The 18454-nt window shown below is 55.9% G+C and overlaps 1 protein-coding gene across 2 annotated transcripts in view, besides 1 other annotated feature; it reads left to right on the plus strand.

The window, feature by feature from the left end:
• Positions 1051–1558: an enhancer, noted in NCBI's record as "H3K4me1 hESC enhancer chr7:1688785-1689292 (GRCh37/hg19 assembly coordinates)". NCBI's record gives its function as "activates a minimal SCP1, AML or CMV promoter by ChIP-STARR-seq in primed H9 embryonic stem cells {active_cell/tissue: H9 hESC(primed)}" and the evidence as "EXISTENCE:reporter gene assay evidence [ECO:0000049][PMID:30033119]".
• Positions 17966–18454, plus strand: part of ELFN1 (extracellular leucine rich repeat and fibronectin type III domain containing 1) — an 81883-nt gene continuing 81394 nt past the window's right edge. For both annotated transcript variants that reach the window (NM_001394188.1, XM_006715725.4), the window contains exon 1: positions 17966–18072. The gene's annotated coding sequence lies outside the window, so the exon portion shown is untranslated. The remainder of the gene's footprint in view (positions 18073–18454) is intronic.

Here is an 18454-nt window from a genome sequence, read left to right on the forward strand (position 1 = left end):
AGGCGGTCATGTTCTGCCTGCCCTCCAAAACAAAGGGGATGGAAATGCGTTGGGGTGAGAAGGACCTACCCGGTCAGACCGTCCAGGCTGGGCGAGGACCAGGACGGAGGGCTGGGGCGCCCTGTGAGGTGCTGTGTCTCCCTGCCTGCCAGGACGCCGAGTTCCCCACTGACCGGCCTTCGTATGGGCCCGTTAGCATGGGAGATAATGGGACGTGAAGCACGAGGTTTCTAGTCAATACAGAGGAGCTGGGAGGCTTTTTATATCTTGTTCTGTCACCCTGGCCAGGCGTTTTATCTGCTGCCTGCTTGACAGCCTGTCACAGAGCCAGGCCCTGCCGGAGTCCTGGCCCAGCCTGTCCCGGGGAGGGGGGTGGCGGGGAGGCTGCCTGCGGAGCGGAGCCGGCAGAGCCCTGAGCAGCGCCTGCAAGAGGAGCTCCCGTTGCGGGACCAAGCGAGCCCTTGGCCCAGCTCCACAGCAGGCTGCACCCCCGGAGCCCCCAGCGTGGAGTCAGGAAGGCCCCATCTGTGTGAGTCTGCTCTGACCACAGTAATACACCCCACAGACCAGGCAGCTTACACTACAGGAATTTATCGTCTCCCATTCTGGAGGCTGGAAGTCCGAGATCAAGGTACGGGCAGGGCTGCCTTCTCCTGAATCCTCAGCCCGTGGCTTGCAGATGGCATCATCTCCCTGTGTCCTCACCGGGCTGTCCCTCTGTGCGTGTCTGTCCTGATCTCCTCTTCTTACAAGGACACCCGTCTGATTGGATTAGGACCCACCCGTATGACCTCATCTCGTCTTAGTCACGTCTTCAAAGGCCCCGTCTCCAAACACAGCCCCATTCTGAGGTCCTGGGGGTCCAGGCTTCAGCATTTGAGCTTCGGGGGCACCAAGCAGCCCGTAACACCCCCCTCTTCCTGGGAAGTCCTCTTCCTGGCACCTCCTGACCCTTCCCGAGTGACTCAGGGCAGACCCCTTCCGCTCCCAGCCTCCATGACCTGCAAGGATGGTGTGACGATGGGCCAGGATCATCAGGGTCATTTATCTGCCAGCTTGAAATGCTGCACTTATGGGAGCCTGCAGGTGACGGGAAGGGTGGAGAAGGGGCCGGGCCCCGCAGAATGTCTGCGGCATGGACGCTGGAGCCCAACGCCTGTGCCTGGCCCCCAGCTGTGCCACATACGGGCCATGTGACCATCAGCAAGTTATATGACCTCCCTGGATCTCACGTCCTCATTTGGCAAACAGGGATAGTCGTGATCCCTCCCTTAGGGCCGGTGCTTGGAAAGAATGAACGAACATGGGTAAGGTGTGCCTGGTGAGCGCTGTCTGGGCTGAAGGAGGAGTTTGAGAAGGCGGCTTTATGAAGGGAGGTGGCCGGGCGCGGTGGCTCACGCCTGTAATCCCAGCACTCTGGGAGGCCAAGGCGGGTGGACCACTCGAGGTCAGGAGTTCGAGACCATCCTGGCCAAAATGACGAAACCCTGTCTGTACTAAAAATACAAAAATTAGCCGGGCATGGTGGTGCATACCTATAATCCCAGCTATTCAGGAGGCTGAGGCATGAAACGTGGAGGTTGTAGTGAGCCGAGATCGCACCACTGCACTCCAGCCTGGGCGAGAGAGTGAGACCCCATCTCACACACAAAAAAAGGGGAGATTATTTGGGGTGGAGTGGGCCTCAAACCCTGGGGAAACATTTGTGCTAAGTTCCATGGGCAGCTTTGGGGATTTGCTCCACAAGGACTCCCGAGAGATCAGTGTCCGCAGGGTGACACCGGTGGCTGGGTGACCAGGAGAGGTAGAGGGGAGATGGGGCCTTTGCTGAGACCCTGTGGAGGTGATGAGGTTGGAGGAGAGGCCATGTGGAGGAGACCAGCTAAGAGCAAGGAGGGGACGGCCTCAGGGACCACACTGTCTGGTGCAGTGAGGGGCGCTCATCCCTCCCCGGCACACAGCCCGGTGAGTAAATTTTGGTGCACAAAGCCAGCAGCTGCCACAGCTGGGCAGTAGTGAGCTCCCTGGCGTTGGAGGAAATCAAGCACATCCTGATGCTCACTGAGTGGGGAGACTTGATGGGAGAAACAGGAAGACCAGCATCATGGAGGGGTGGATTTTATTCTTATCAAAAGCAGTGGGGGGAGTTTCGAGTCCTGGGAAGAAGCACTGGAGGAGATGGCTTTTGGAGTCCAGGGATGGATCCCCAGTAGCTGCCCCATTTTCTGCATGAATTCGTGCTTTCATGGAGGCCCAGGGGCCGGGCAGCACAAGTCAGGCTGTGGGCTCAGGGTCCACACACCAGCAACCCTGGAGGAAGTGATTTCTCTGGAGTCAGCTTCTGGTGGGATCTGAGGTTTGCAGCCGTCGATCTGGCCTCAGAGCTGAACCTCTGCCCTGCAGAGGCACCGAATGCCCACCGAGGGGCGGCTTTCAGGGCCAGCGTGCCCCGAGCCAGGCAGATGAGGCTGGTTAGGAATGGAGGCCACTGTCATTTACTGCCTCTGACCCTAGGGATCAGGCCAGAACCAGGGAGCTCCTGCCAAGGAGACGGACATGGAGGTGCCGGCTCCCCTCCCGGAGGAAGCCTGATCGATCCCCGCTGCCGCAGAGCCCTGCAGAGCTCCTACTTAGGCCTGGTTGTCCATCACGATGCGGGCTTGGAGCGAGTGGCCTTCCCATGGGAGACGCAGGGGAAGGCCCGCTGCAGGAGAAGGGGAACTGAAGTAGGGGCCGGGGCTGGGCCAGTCCACTTGGCAAGGACGTGGCTTGCAGGGGGTGCTGAGACCTTGGCCTTTTGCCAAAGCACCCCGCTCCCTGGAGCCACTTGCCCACCCCTCCCCCAGGCTGGTTCGGCCCCAGCCAGGTAGGTCCAAAGTCCTGTGCTGCCGGAGTGGAGTCTAATAAGCCCCTCCTGGCAAGGGGCTCACCACCAAGGCACCCCACGATGACGGCTCAGGAAGTGGGCCCACGGACAGGTGCCTGAAAAAGCCCAGGACCCCTAAGCTGAGGCTGAAGGACAGAGGCGTGGGAGAAGCCAGCCAAGGCTCGGGAGGGCACCCCAGGCGGAGGCACCAGCATGAGTCAAGGCCCGGAGGGGAGCGCTAGATACAGCCCTGGGTCCTCAGGCCGAGGATGGGGACTTTTTCTGAGAACATGAGGGTTTCCAGATTGGAATGTTGGAAGGCTGGGCTCCAGTCACAGCCTGAGGGAGGCTTGATTGGAGCAGGCAGGAATGGAGGCCCAGAGAATCTTGCACGGTGAAGCGGGCGGAGCCAGGCAGCTGCCACCCCAGGCACACACGGGCACACACCTCCTCCTCCCCCTCCCATGTTCTCTAGACCTGCCCCAGGCTTCTCCGAGCGGTGACCAGGCCCCTGGGGAGGGGCTGAAATCTGGAGGCGGGCATGGTGTTCCCAGAGAACATGGTGGGGTGGGGACTTACGCTCAGTGAACCCACGTTTCTAAATGCCAAATCTACTCTAAACTCCAAAGGGGGTTGGAGTTCTTGTCTCTGCAGAAGGGCAGATCAGGGAACTATTCAGGGGGAGGGGGGGCAGAACCTAGAGGCCAATTCATTGTCCAGGTTGAGTCAGGAACCCTGGGGTAGGCCCAGCTTTGGGAGGACAGAGGACCTTGGGGTGGCAGGAGAAGGGAGGGTCAAAAGTGCATCAAGGGGTAAGGCCAACCCATGTAGCCTCAGAGAACTGAGATGGGGACTCGGAACCTGAGGTCTGCCCCGAGCAGGAGGTCCTGGGCAACTGCAGTCTTGCCCTTGGGTGGGGGAGGCCCTGCCCAAAAGATGGGGTGGAGAGAGTGAGGGGAGCGCCCCCATCAGGGGTCGGACTTTTCCCTGAAACTTGACTCTCGATGCTTTTCTAAGTGATTAAAAGTCCCCCTAACCAACAATACCCATGTCAAACAACGCCTCCTCCAGGAAGCCACCCTGGGTTGCCTGGGATGGAGATCAGCTCCCTCTTGGTATTTGTGGCACCAGCTTGCTGTGGGGAATATTAGTGCCCAGGCTGGGTGATCTTAGGCAAAGGACTTGACATCTCTGAGCCTCAATACCACCTGACTGTCAAAGGACTAATAAAGTCAAGCTCCAGGGCTGGTGAAGGAACTGAGACGGGGATTATCATGAGCTAAACTGTGTCCCCCAAAGGACACGCTGATGTCCTATCCCCAGTATGTGACCTTATTTGGAGACATGGTCTTTACAGAGGTGATTAAGTTAAAATGTTCTGGGGTGGGCCCTGATCCAGTGTGCCTGGTGTTCTTATGAAGAGGGAACATTTCAGCCGGGTGTGGTGGCACATGCCTGTGGTCCCAGCTACTGAGGAGGCTGAGAGGCAGGAGGATCACTTGAGCCCAGGAGGTGGAGGCTGCAGTGAGCTGTGATCGCACCACTGCACTCCAGCCTGGATAACAGAGCAAGACCTTGTTCCTCCAACCTCCAATTTTTTTTTTTTTTTTTTTTTGAGGCAGAATCCCTCTGTCGCCCAGGCTGGACCGCAGTGTCATGATTTTGCCTCACTGCAACATCTGTCTCCCGGGTTCAAGCGATTCTTCTGCCTCAGCCTCCCGAGCAGCTGGGATTACAGGCACCTGCCACCGCACGCAGCTAATTTTTGTATTTTTAGTAGAGATGGGGTTTCACCATGTTGGCCAGGCTGGTCTCTAAATCCTTACCTCAGGTGATCTGCCCGCTTCAGCCTCCCAAAGTGCTGGGATTACAGGCATGAGCCATTACACCTGGCCTCGATTATTTTTTTTTTTTTTTTTTTTTTGAGACGGAGTCTCGCTCTGTCTCCCAGGCCGGACTGCGGACTGCAGTGGCGCAATCTCGGCTCACTGCAAGCTCCGCTTCCCGGGTTCACGCCATTCTCCTGCCTCAGCCTCCCGAGTAGCTGGGACTACAGGCGCCCGCCACCGCGCCCGGCTAATTTTTTGTATTTTTAGTAGAGACGGGGTTTCACCTTGTTAGCCAGGATGGTCTCGATCTCCTGACCTCATGATCCACCCGCCTCGGCCTCCCAAAGTGCTGGGATTACAGGCGTGAGCCACCGCGCCCGGCCAATTATTTTTTTAAAGGAGGAAATTTGTGCACAGACAGACGTGTACAGAGGAAAGACATCCCTGTGACTGAGTGACGTGTCTTCCAGCCACGGAGCACCAAGGCTTGCTCAGGGATGCTGGAAGAGGCAGGAAGGATCCTCCCCAAGAGCTATGAGAGGGAGCGCGGCCCTGCCAATCCCTTGATTTTGGACTTTGGGCCTCCAGAGCTGCGAAAGAGCAGACACCTGTTGTCTTAAGCCCCCCAACGTGTGGCAATGTGTTATGGTGGCCCCAGGACGCAGATACAGGGACAGATGTGGGCTCCCTGCAGAAATGCTATGAGCTCCTTGTGGTGTTACCCCAGCAGCCCCTGTCACCTGCCCCTGTCTGTGTGCCCTGAAGTCAGACTCACGGCACCTTGTTGGCCCAGCCCCAGGTGCTCCATGTAGATGCTGATAGGTGATGGAGGAAAGAAATAGGGTGATCACACATGCACGCATATACATGTGTGGACAAGCATGCAGGCATGCACACAGGCACATGTGCACATACATGCAGGCACATGCACACAAGGGCACGTACATGTGTACACACATGCAGGAATTCACACACACACACAGGAACACAGGCACATGCATGTGCACAAGCATGCAGGCATGTTCACATAGGCACACACATACGTACATGCAGGCACACACACAAGGGCACATGCATGTGTGCACAGACAGACATGCTCACATATATACATGCGCAGGTGCACAAGACGTGCACACAGGCAGACATGCTCACATATACACACATACACAGGTGCACACAGGTACATACTGTGCACACAAGCAGATATGCTCACATACGCACAGGTGCACAAGACATACTTGTGAACACACATGCAGACATGCTCACATACTCATACATGCACAGGCACACACAGGTACATACGTGTGCACATAGAGACATGTTCACACGCATGCACACAGGCACACACACACTTGCAGTATGTGCGTGGACACAGGCCCAGATTAGCACCCTGCTAGAGATGGAGACCAGCCCCCACGCAGACCCCGCCCTGCCTGCCCATCCAGCTCCTGGAGCCAGCGGGCGTCTGCGCCCCAGTGTTTGGCTGCAGTGAGTCAGGCCTTGGGGAGCAATGCGCCATGCTCAGCTCTGGGAGCGGGCCAGGGCACTGGTCCTGGGGCTAAGGCCCAGCGTGTACAGGCTGTTTGCTGAGGGCGTGCTTTGAGGAAGAGCATACCCGGGTTCCAAAGCGCCTACAGTGAACATCTACTGTGTACAAAAGTGACAGTGATGATGAGACCAGCCTGATCCCCGAGGGGCTCACAGAGGGAAGCCGGGGAGGAGGGAAGACAAGTCCTGAGGCCCCACTTCATCATAACAGCAGGAGGGGTGCACTGAGCTCAAGGCCACGTTCACAGGTGGCTGCTGACAGTGCCTCCATCTCCACCCAGGGACCCCACAGCGTGGAGGCTGAGGCCCCTCTACCATTTCCTTACCACTCCTAGACATCACGGGTCTCTCCCTCCAAGTGAAACATCCTGGCGGTTGAAACTTGTTTTAAGAAATAAGATACCTCCGGGCGCAGTCCACGTAGGAGCCTGCAAAATGTCACTCCTGTTATCTTCTCATTTAGCCCTATTTCAGTCTGAATAAAGCAGAATGAATCACAGGGGACCAGGTGAGCAGAGCCCGAGGCCTGGGCCATTTGCCTTCATCACTGAGGAGGCCGTCTGCACCCCAGCCTTCAGCATGCAGGGGGAGCGAAGGGGGTGCCCAGCCTCGCCCCGCCCAGCGCACCCCTGCAGCAGCCCGGGAGGGCAGGCCGTGGCTCCTGGGAACACGGCGCCCAGCTGCAATCCACATTGCTGCTAGTGAATATGGACAATTCAGAGACATGAAATAAGGCAGACAGAGAAAAAGCATCGGTGACTCTGCCAGGCTACATATGTGTGTGCGTGTCTGCATATATATACACACACGTGTATACGCACACACAGAGCCACACATCACTCAACGACAGGGACACGTTCTGAGAAATACATGGTTCCGTGATTTTGTCATCGCGCGTACATCCTAGAGTGACTCACACGAACGCAGATGGCGGAGCCTACCCCACGCCTGGGCCTCGCGGTACAGCCTGTGGCTCCGGGGCTACACACCCGCACGGCAGGTGACTGCACTGAACACTGTAGGCAGCTGCAACACAAGGACAAGTCTTTGTGTTTCTAAACACATCTAAACTCAGAGAAGGTGCAGTAAAAATAGGGTATTATACTCTTCTGGGACCACCATTGCAAATGTGGTCCATTGGTTACCAAAGTGTCTGTGTGTTGTGTGTATACATACGTAATTTTTCTTTTTCTTTCTCTCCCTCCTTCCCTCCCTCCCTCTTTTCCTTTGTTTTAAAATTTTTTTTTTATAAATTTGGAATTCTTCTTACTAGGCTCCCTAATTTGCAATTTATTTGTTTTTAGGGTTTTTTTTTTTTTTTTTTTTTTTTTTGAGACAGAGGCTGGAGTGCAGTGGTGCAATCTCAGTTCACTGCAACCTCCACCTTCTGGGTTCAAGCGATTCTCCTGCCTCAGCCTCCCAAGTGGCTGAGGTAACCAGCCCAGTAACCAGGTGCTCGCCACCACGCCTGGTTAATTTTGTATATTTAGTAGAGATGGGATTTCACCATTTTGGCCAGGCTGGTCTTGAACTCCTGACCTCAAGTGATCCGCCTGCCTCGGCCTCCCAAAGTGCTGGGATTACAAAGTACTGGGATCACAGGCGTGAGCCATCGCATCCAGCCCCAGTTTGCAATTTATAATCTGCTGTCTCCTCACCTAATGTTAGATCCCATGGCTTGTCTCTGACACAAGACGCCAACGAAGATCGGCATTTCTGCAACCTCTGGCTTCCAGGAAGGCTGCCTCCCTCCCCAACTTCCTCTGATCATCGTGCGGCTGAGGAACAGATGGGGAACCAGGTGCACAGAGAGGTATGGCCACCTTCACGGGGTCACACAGGTGAGCAGCTGCGGAGGCCAGAGCTGAGGCCACCAGGGAGCTCCTTGGGTGTCCAAAGGCTTAAAAAATTCTGGTTGCCTTCCTCAGGCTGAGAAATGATATGGTGGGTGATGCAGATGAGGGTCCAGGGTGCCTGCCCTGGGGAGCATGATGAGCAGATGGCGGTGCAGCCACACGTGGAGGACTCAGCTCCCAGAGCAATAAAGGGACACCTACGCCATGCATGAGGCTGGGAGACTGTGCAGGGGGAAGAAGTCACTCGCCAGGAGCCCAGGTGTGTGGAATTCTGGAACAGACTAGATCTACCCTGGACTAACCTGGACTGGAACTAACAGACTAGAACTAACTAGAACGAATTCTAGAACTAACCTACGGTGGAAAACATCAGAATGGCAGTGGCTTCTGGGGGCCAGAGGTAGGAAGGCACTGGGCAGGGGTATGCAGCAACATTTTGGGGGCATTGTCTTTTTTATTTTTCAGAGGAAGGGTCTTGCTCTGTTGCCCAGGCTGGAGTGCAGTGGCTCAATCATGGCTCACTGCAGTCTTGACCTCCTGGGTTCAAGCCATCCTCCCACCTCAGCCTCCTGAATAGCTGGGACCACAGGCATGTGCTGCTACACCTGGCTCATTTTTTTATTTTTGTAGAGATGGGGCCTCCCTGCATTGCCCAGGCTGGTCTTCAACTCCTGGGCTCCAGTGATCCTCCCACCTCTGCCTCCCAAAGTGTTGGAATTATAGGCGTGAGCCACCGCACCCGGCCTGATGTCTGTCTCTTGATAAGGGTTTGGGCTGCAGAAGTGGTCCGTTAGTCAGAGCATTCAGTGGCTCCTTCAGAGTTATACATTTCATGGTATGTGAATTTTACTCAAAGCAATAAAAAATCTGAAACGAATATTGAACTCTAGATCATGACATGCAGTCGGCCGGTTAAGGGGGAGAGAGTACTGGTGCCTGCAACTTGGAAAGAGATTGATTATGGGTGGGCAGAGGGACAGAGAAACAAGATGAAGCGGGTCTAGCGAAACGTCAGTTGTGGAATAACAGGTGATAGCATCTGGGTGCTCACTGTGAAATCATCTCAACTTTTCCAGATGTTTGAAACATTTCAAAGTTCAATATGAAAAGCAATGAAAAAGAATCTGGGCTTTGCAGACAAACTGCTGGGAGGTGGCCACGGCCCAGTATCTGTGTGGTCCTGGGTGGGTTTCTCAGCCTCACGGTGCCTCAGGGTCCTGACTGTTAAGTGTGGGTGGTAATAGCACCGCTGCCCACGGCGTGGGTGAATTAACACAGGCAGGGCACTTAGACAGTGCCTGGCACACAGCAGGTGCTTAATAAATGTGCCCTTTGTTGATGTTATTCCTCAGCCCTGAAAGTATCAGCCACGTGTCCTCCAGCTACTCAGAGATGCTGAGGAACAGCTGGGATTTGCACTGGGTTCACGTGCAGGGGACCCCAAAGAGCCAAAACAAGCTTGAAAAGGAAAGAACAAAGTGGGAAGACTCAGCTGGGTGCAGTGGCTCATGCTTGTAATCTCAGCATTTTGGGAAGCCAAGGCAGGAGGATCACTTAAGTCCAGGAGTTCAAGACCAACCTGGGCAACATAGCAAGACTCCATCTCTACAAAAAAAAATTTTAAATTAGCTGGATGTGGTGGCATATGCCTGTAGTCCCAGCTACTCAGGAGACTAGGGTGGGAGGATCGCTTGAGCCTAGGAGTTCAAGGCTGCAGTGAGCTATGATTGCACCACTGCATTCTAGCCTGGGCAACAGAGCAAGACTCTGTTTCTAGAAAAAAAAAAAAGTGGGAAGACTCACACTTCCTATTGTGAAAACTTCCTACGGTAATGAGGACAGTGTGGTACTGTGGTAAGGACAGATATGAACAGCAATGGGCTAGAACTGAGAGTCCAGAAATAAACCCTTGTATTTTTACTCTATTTATTTCCAATAAGGGAGCCAAGACAATTTGATGGGGCTAGGGGAAGAGGAGACCTTTGACACATAGTGCTGGGTCAAGTAGTCACATGCAAGAGAATGAAGATGGACCCTTACCTCACACCATATACAAACATCAACTCAAGATGCATCCAAGGCTAGGTGTGGTGGCTCACACCTGTAATCCCAGCACTTTGGGAGGCCAAGGCAGGTGGATTACCTGAGGTCAGGAGTTCAAGACCAGCCTGGCCAACATGGTGAAACCCTGCCTCTACTAAAAACACACACACACACAAAATTAGCTGGGCATGGTGGCGAATGCCTGTAGTCCCAGCTACTCAGGAGGCTGAGGCAGAAGAATCGCTTGAACCTGGGAGGTGGCGGTTGCAGTGAGCCGAGATCGCACCACTGCACTCCAGCCAGGGGAACAAGAGCACAACTCCATTAAAAAAAAAAAAATGCATCTGAGACCTCAACAGAAGAGCTAAAACCATGAAACTCTTAGAAGAAAATACAGAACTAAATCTTCGTCATAGGCAAAATTTTGTCAGATGTGACATCAAAAGCCCAAACAACAAATGAAAAAATTGGACTTCATCAAAATCTAAAACTCGTGTGCCACAAATAACAGCAACGGGAAAGTGAAAAAACAACCCACAGAAAGGGAGAAAAATATTTGCAAATTATACATCTAATTAGGGACTGTGTCTAAAATATATTTTACAACTCTTACAACTCAATAATAAAATGATAACCCAATTTAAATATGAACAAAAGATTCAAATGGACATTTCTCCAAAAGATATGTAGAAGTTCAATCGCACAGAAAAGATGCTCGGCATCATTAGTCACCAGGGAAATGCAGATCAAAGCCACTAGGAGATACAACTTCACACCATCTAGGATGGCCATAATAAAAAAGACAGATAATAGTAAGTGTTGAGGCCGGGTGTGGTGGCTCATGCCTGAAATCCCAGCACTTTTGGGAGGCTGAGACAGGTGGATCGCTTCAGCCCAGGAGTCCGAGACCAGCCTGGGCAATATGTTGAAACCCCATCTCTACTGAAAATACAAAAATTTTCCAGGCGTGGTGGTTCATGGCTGTAGTCCCAGCTACTCTGGAGGCCAAGGTGGGAGGATTGCTTGAGCCTAGGAGGTGGAGGTTGCAGTGAGCCAAGATCGTGCCACTGCACTTCAGCCTGACAGTGACAGAGTGTCACCCTTCAGGTGACAGAGTGAGGCCCTGTCTCAAATGATAATAATAATAGTAAAAGTGTTGGCCGGTCATGGTGGCTCACGCCTATAATCCCAGCACTTTGGGAGGCCGAGGTGGGTGGATCACCTGAGGTCAGGAGTTCAAGACCAGCCTTACCAACATGGAGAAACCGCATCTCCTAAAAATACAAAATTAGCTGAGTGTGGTGGCTCATGCCTATAATCCCAGCTACTGTGGAGGCTGAGGCAGGAGAATCCCTTGAACCCAGGAGGTGGAGGTTGTGGTGAGCCGAGATCGTGTCATTGCATTCCAGCCTGGGCAACAAGAGTGAAACTCCATCTCAGAAAAAAAAATAATAATAATAATAAAAGTGTTGACGAGGATGCAGAGAAATAGGAACTCTCCTACGTTGCTGCTGGGAACATAACATGTGGCATCAAAATTTTGGCAGAGTTTGTGAACTCTTCAAAATGTGAAAGATAGGCTTACCATATGACCCAACACGTCCGTTCCTAGGTGTTTACCCAAAAGAAATGGAAACACATGTGCGCGTGAGAACTAGTACATGAATGTATCTAGCTGTGTGACTCACATTTCCAACGCGAAAACAGCCCAAATGACCATCAGCTGATGAATGGGTAATAAAATGTGCTCCAGGCACTCAGTGGAGTGCTATTTGGCAATAAAAAGGAATAAAATACTGAAATGCTACAACATGGATGAATCTCAAAAACAATGCTCAGTGAAACTAGCCAGTCACAGAAGACCACATATTGTCTGATTCCATTTATAAGAAATAGCTACAATAGGCCGGGCACGGTGGCTCACACCTGTAATCCCAGCACTTTGGGAGGCTGAGGCGGGCAGATCACGAGGTCAGGAGATCGAGACCATCCTGGCTAATACAGTGAAACCCTGTCTCTACTAAAAATACAAAAAATTAGCAAGGCGTGGCGGCGGGCACCTGTAGTCACAGCTACTTGGGAGGCTGAGGCAGGAGAATGGTGGGAACTCGGGAGGCGGAGCTTGCAGTGAGCCAAGATCGTGCCACTGCACTCCAGCCTGGGTGACAGAGCAAGACTCTGTCTTAAAAAAAAAGAAAAGCCTTGGGTTCCCATCCCAACCTGCTCCTGCAGGATTTCCTTAGGCAAGTTGCCCCCTAAAATTCAGTTTTGTCACCTGTAAAAGGGGGAAGGAAGGATTCACCTCCCTGGGTTACAGTGGGAACCAGATGAGATGATAGAAAACAATTTTCCATTTTCATTTTCACATTGAAATTTATTATAAAGGAACATGTCTGCACATTGCACAGAATTCAAATGGCATTACAGGGGCATATGGGGAAAAGTCTCATTTTCTGGGGTGATGGGAATGTTCAGTATTTTGATGGAGGTAGTGATGGCAACCAGTGTCCACATTTGTCCAATTTCAGAACTGTAGTTCTGAACAGTATAAAACTGAAGAAGTATGAATTTCACTGTCTGTAAATAAATAATACGTTAAAAATATTTTTTTATATTGAGTCCCCGGCCGGGTGCAGTGGCTCACTCCTGTAGTCCCAGCACTTTGGGAGGCTGAGGCGGGTGGATCACCTGAGATCAGGAGTTCGAGACCAGCCTGGCCAACATGGTGAAACCCCGTCTCTACTAAAAATACAAAAATTAGCCAGGTGTGGTGGCACGTGCCTATAATCCTAGCTACTCGGGAGGCCGAGGCAGGAGAATCACTTGAATCCAGGAGGTGGAGGTTGCAGTGAGCCGAGATCGCACCACTGCACTCCAGCCTGGGGGACAAGAGTGAGACTTTGTCTCAGAAAAAAAAAAAAAAAAAAGTCCCCTTCTACCCTCTCCCCAAGACTTGCAGCCCCCAGGTTCCTACAGGAGGCACCCACTATTTCTAGTTTCTTGGGTCTCCTTCCAGTAATCAGTGTGTGCAGGCAACTAAAATGTCATTTCATTAACTCCTTTTTGACACAGTGTAAAAAAAAAAAAAAAAAAAAGGTGCCATATACACTGTCCGGCCCCTTTTGCTTTTTCACACTAAAGAACATCTGCAGATGGACTCCAATCAGTCCACCTTTATCCGGCTGGATGTGCCATGATGATTTAAGCACTGCACTGTCAGCGGGCACTTAGGATCCTTCCAATCTGCTGCTGTTACAAAGAGTGCTTCGGCGAATAACCTTGTACAAAGCAATATATCATTTTTCACATTTGGGAGGAGTATCTGGAGGACAGATTCCTAGAAGCAAATGCTGGGCCAAAGGGTGTGTACATTTGGAATTTTGACATTGTTTCAGAGGTTCCAAGGGTGTCTGCTTCCCCACACTATTGCAACAGGGTGTGTCCTTAGACTGTTTAATCTGTGCCCATCTGATGAGTGAAAAATCACATCAGTACAGTTTCAGCATGCACTTTTGTCACTAGGAGTGAGCATAGGCACTTTCTCATTTGTTTAAACATCCTTTTGATTTCCTTTTCTGTTCATTACCTCTGTCTATTTTTTTTTTTTTTTGGCCTCTTGGCTATTTTTCTTATTGATTTGTAAGAGCTCTTTATATAGGGGGAACTGGCTCTTTGCCTGAGATAGAAATTGGACACATCATTTAATCTATGGCTTCGGGGTTTTATGGGCATTTGTTGTTCTTGCTGTGAAGTTCTGGGGACAGGAAGAGATTGTCACCATTCTTCTCTGGTTACCATTTCCTTAGGATGGGTCCGGGGGTCGGGGGGAATTCTCTCCCCACTCCTTCGCGGTTAATCCCAGCTGCTCTATCCCTCCCCTGCTTCCCCCAAACACACTCAGGCAACTGGGTCATTCACTTCCAGCCAGGCCATCCTCAGCAGAGAGAGGGCGCAGGAACCACCTGCAGGGGGGCAAAGGTATCAAAGCCACCAGATGAGTCCTCACTTATCCTGGAAGTGGGTGTGGTCATGTGGGGCTGGAGTGGGGCACTGAGGCCTGGAGGTGAGTCAGTCTGTCCTGCTCTCTCAAGCTCACACTCTGTTGGATGAAACTGACACATCAAGTCAGGGCGTCCAGGGACACAGGCTCAGGGCAGTGGCAGGGTGGAGGGGAGGGGGTGTGCTTCCAACCACCTAAGGAAAGCCCTGAGGCCCCACAGCCCCAGGCCCCTACGGCTCTTACTGACCAGCCTCTTCCCCAAAGGGTAGCTGGGTGGGTCATGAGATGGTGGTTGATTTGTTTCCATAAAAATGAGAATCTTACTGGCAGTTTAGCTCTTTTTTTGTTTTTGAGACAGTCTTGCTCTGTTGCCCATGCTGGAGTGCAGTGGTGCGATCATAGCTCACTGCAACCTCCACTTCCTGGGCTCAAGTGATCCTCCTACCTCAGCCTCCTGAATAGCTGGGACCATAGGCACACACCACCACACCCAGCTAATTTTTTATTTTTTGTAGACAGGGTCTCACTATGTTGCCCAGGCAGGTCTTAAACTGGGCCGTTTTCTTCTGAACGAGGACGTTTTGTACATCAGAAGGACCTGCTAAGCCCTGGATCTAGCAACGGTGCCCAGGTGGGTGGGGGTGCACCCACCATCCCTAGCTCTGTCCTAGGTCCTGGCCCAGCTGACTCATCTCTGGAAAGACAGGCTGTCTGATGGACCGGGCCATCGCTGCTGCGTCTGGGCTGCTGCCGGGCAGTGGCAGCACCTCAGAAAGGAGGCCTGAGCGAGCACGTGTGTGTGGAGCGACTGTGCGTGAACGCATGTGCATATGCAGATGGGAACATGCTTAGTACAGCTGCCTTCAAGTTTGACCATCTGGATTCAAACCCTGGCTTGGCCATTTCCAGTTTATGGTGACCCTGGCCAAGGTACTTGATCTCTGGACCCCTCGATGTTACCCTCTGGGAACTGGAGATCTTCACAGCTGGTTCACTTCTAGGGTTGCTGTGAGGACTAAATGACTTCATGCCAGCCACCAGCCATTAGGAACCTCCATCACAGGAAGGATCGTCATAGTGCCACACCAGTGTGCGTGCCTGCGTGTGAGGGTTACACTGGGTGGGGCGGGGTGTGTGCGATTCGGGGGTGTGTGAAGCAGGATGCCTTTGCAACTCTCTGCACAACCACAGTGTGAGCTATGGGGTGGGGGGGGTTCCAGCCTTCCTGTCCCAGTGAGGCTGCGGCATCTTCCTGTGGGACACCGGCTTGCGGCGGGGAGCTGGGGTGGGTATCCACACGCATCTTCCCTGGATGTGCTGTAAGGTGTCTACACCACACAGGCTGCCTCTGGGTACCTCTGTCTGCTGGGGGAGGGGGATCAGGAGGAGATGAATGTCAGAGAGAAAGAGACCAAGACGGAGAAAGAAAAGGAGAGAGGAGAGGCGGAAAGGGAGAGGGGAGAAGAGGAGGAAGAGGAAGAGGGAAAGAGACAGAAAAGGAGGGTGGAGGGAGAGAGAGAGAGGAAGAGGGAGAGAGAGAACAAACATATTCTCTGACAGAGGCAAACAGAGGCGGGGAGAGAGAGCTCCAGAAGAGGCCAGAGACAGCCAGCCTTCCTCCCACCTCCTCTCTTCGGGTCTGTCCTGGGGTGGCCCATTCCCAGCCTGAGGGGGGACAGCAGCCCGAGGCCAGCCAGGCCCCGCGGGGGCCCTGCCTTCTCACGGGACAGGAGGGCATATTTCAGCATTGGAAGGCGCTGCAGAGGGAGTCAGTCAGGGCTGAAATTCCTCAGCGCCCTGGAAGGTCCGCGGGACAGCTCCCTTCTCCCAGCTTCCTCCAAGGAGCCAGGTCCGGGACTCTCCAGGCCCCTCGAGTAGGGGAGGGGGGAAGTGAGAGAAAGGGGCTGTGTGCGCACCTAGGCCACTGCGCGCTTCAGAGCAGCCGGGACCCTCCCTGAGGGACCAGGAAGAGACCCCCCCCAGGCCGGGCTCGGCCCGCTCTGTCTCCCTGTTCCCTGGAGGTCTGGGCGCCCCCGCGCAGGGACTAAGGGCTGGACAGCCGCAGGCAGGGGCTCCGTCCTTGGCCTCCACCCTTCGTGTCCAGCAATCCCGGGAGCAGGCGGCGGCACTTCCTCCATGCCCCGGCCTCAATCACGGTCTCAGTCCCCCCAACCCCGTCCTGCAGGAACAAGTGTGGTAGAGGCTCGGGGTCGGAGGGCGGGCGGCCGTCCCGCGGGCTGGACGGAGTTTCTGGGCTGCGGAGAGGCCGTTGGACCCACGTCCGGACAGGAGCCCCGCGCGCCCATCCCCGGCCCGGCCATCCTCGGGGCGCGCTGTCTGCGGCCTCCCGCGCCACCCCCACCCCTGTCCCGGGACCTCCTCCGGGAAAGACACCCGGGGAGCAGCCCCCTCCCCTCCAGTAGTCCCCTCCCCTCCCCTCTCCCTGCCCTCTTGACGGTGTGGGGCTCCCCGGCCGGAGGGGCGCGGCGCTGGCAGCGGGGTCCAGAGTGTCGCGCCCAGCGCGCGCTGGGGGTCCCGGGCTCCGCAGCTCCGCACGCGGCCGGTTTGTGAAGCGGCGCGCGGGGGCTTAGCCGGGCGAGGGCGCTCTTGAGCCTGGTTTGGAATTTTTAGCCCACACGAAAGCCGCAGGCTGGGGAAGGGGCGGGTGGGAGCGGGAGACGCCCTGGGAAGCCGTGAGACCGCTCGGCGAGGGCTCGGGACCACCAGGGAGCGACGGGGGACCCCTCGGCTCAGAGCCCGAGGGCGCGATTTCGGATCCGCTGGGATTCCGGAGGCACATGAAGGGAGAGGGAAATCCGCTAAACCGAACCTTCCGGGAATCGGAAGGCGCCGGGCCGCTCCCACGCCTCCCCCTCCTCCCGGCCGAAAGGCGGGGGGCGACGCGCAACGGGGAGGGAAGGGAGGGAGGGGTCGGCGACCTTAGGGGAGGGCGAGTCTCTGGGGACGCGGGGCCGCCAGGGGCCCGACGACCCTCTCGCTCCACCTCCCCGCCCCCAAGTGCCCCGCTCTCCCCCCGCCCCGCAAACGCGCGTCCTGCGGGCTGTGCTTTGGCCCTCGCGGACGCGCGCGCTCACAGAGGGTCTGACTTGGGGTCAACTTCCACGAGGTTGCCGGGCGCCTGTGAGCACAGCCGTGTCCCCACCCAGGGGCCCACCTCCCAGCGCCACCAGGGTCCCGACCCCCAGACCTTCGGACGCTTCTCTTCCAAACCGAAGCCTGGGAGCCTCTGGGTGGCCTGGGGCGGGGGCAGGGGGCGAGCGGGGCGGGCCAGGAGGAGGGGGCGAGGCCGCCACTCGGCTTCCCACGCCGCCCCCGCGGCTGGCTCCAACTTCCCCTCCGGAGCCCCCCTCCGGCCACCCCCCAGCCCACCGACGTGCGGGCAGCGACCCCGCCCCCCGCCCCTCCGGTCGCCCCCGCCGCGGCCCCCGCCCCCTCCCCATCCCTCCCCGCGCGCTCTCCCACATGAAACCTTCCATCACGCTCAGAAAGAATGTGCTACAACCTCGGCGCTGCCGCGGCCGCCACCACTGCGCCCGCGCCCGAGCCCGAGTCGGAGCCGGAGCCGCCGCTCCCCCGCCTGCCCGGCCAGCCCCGGGCTCCGAGCGCGCGGTCCCCGCCGCCGCCGCCCCGCGCTCGCCCCGCGCTTGACGCAGTGAGCGCCGCAGCCTGGCTCCCGCCGGCTCCGCTGGGCTCCGGGTCGCAGGCCGAGTCCAGCCGGGCGGGCTCCGGGAGGGGCCGGCAGGGCGGGAGGGGGAGGAGGGCTGTCTGGAGCCAGCGAGCCCGGAGGAGGAAGAGGAGGAGGAAGGAGGGGAAGCCGCCGCCGCCGCCGCCGCGCTCGGGGAACCGGGGTGCGCGCGCTCTGCTCGCCCGCGACAGTGCCTCCAGCCCGGGGCCCGCACCCCGGCCCAGGTAAGAAGGGGCCTGAGGGGCAGGGGGCTGTCCGGGGCCGGGGGACCCCTCTGTCGCCGCTGCGGGATCGGAGGGTCCCCGCCCCTAGGGGAGGCAGGGAAGAGGATGCTCTCTGGGGGGGGCGGCGGGGGGCAGCGCAGGGTCCCCAGCGGCTCTCGCAGCCCGGGCCACCCCATCCCTGGTGCCCTGACCTCGGCGTCCGCGCCAGGGCCGAGTCTCCCCGCCCGCGGGGCTCTGGATGCGGCGCTCGGGGCCCGCGGCTCCCGGGCGTCCCCATCCACCCACCCAGGTTCGGAGGCGGGCGCACCCGAAGTTAGCGGCCGCCGAGCCTGGGCCGGACAAACTTCCCTCCCCGACGCCGCGGCTGGAAGGGCCAGGACTC

Source organism: Homo sapiens, chromosome 7 (assembly GCF_000001405.40).
Source record: "Homo sapiens chromosome 7, GRCh38.p14 Primary Assembly".
NCBI classification, from domain to species: domain Eukaryota; kingdom Metazoa; phylum Chordata; class Mammalia; order Primates; family Hominidae; genus Homo; species Homo sapiens.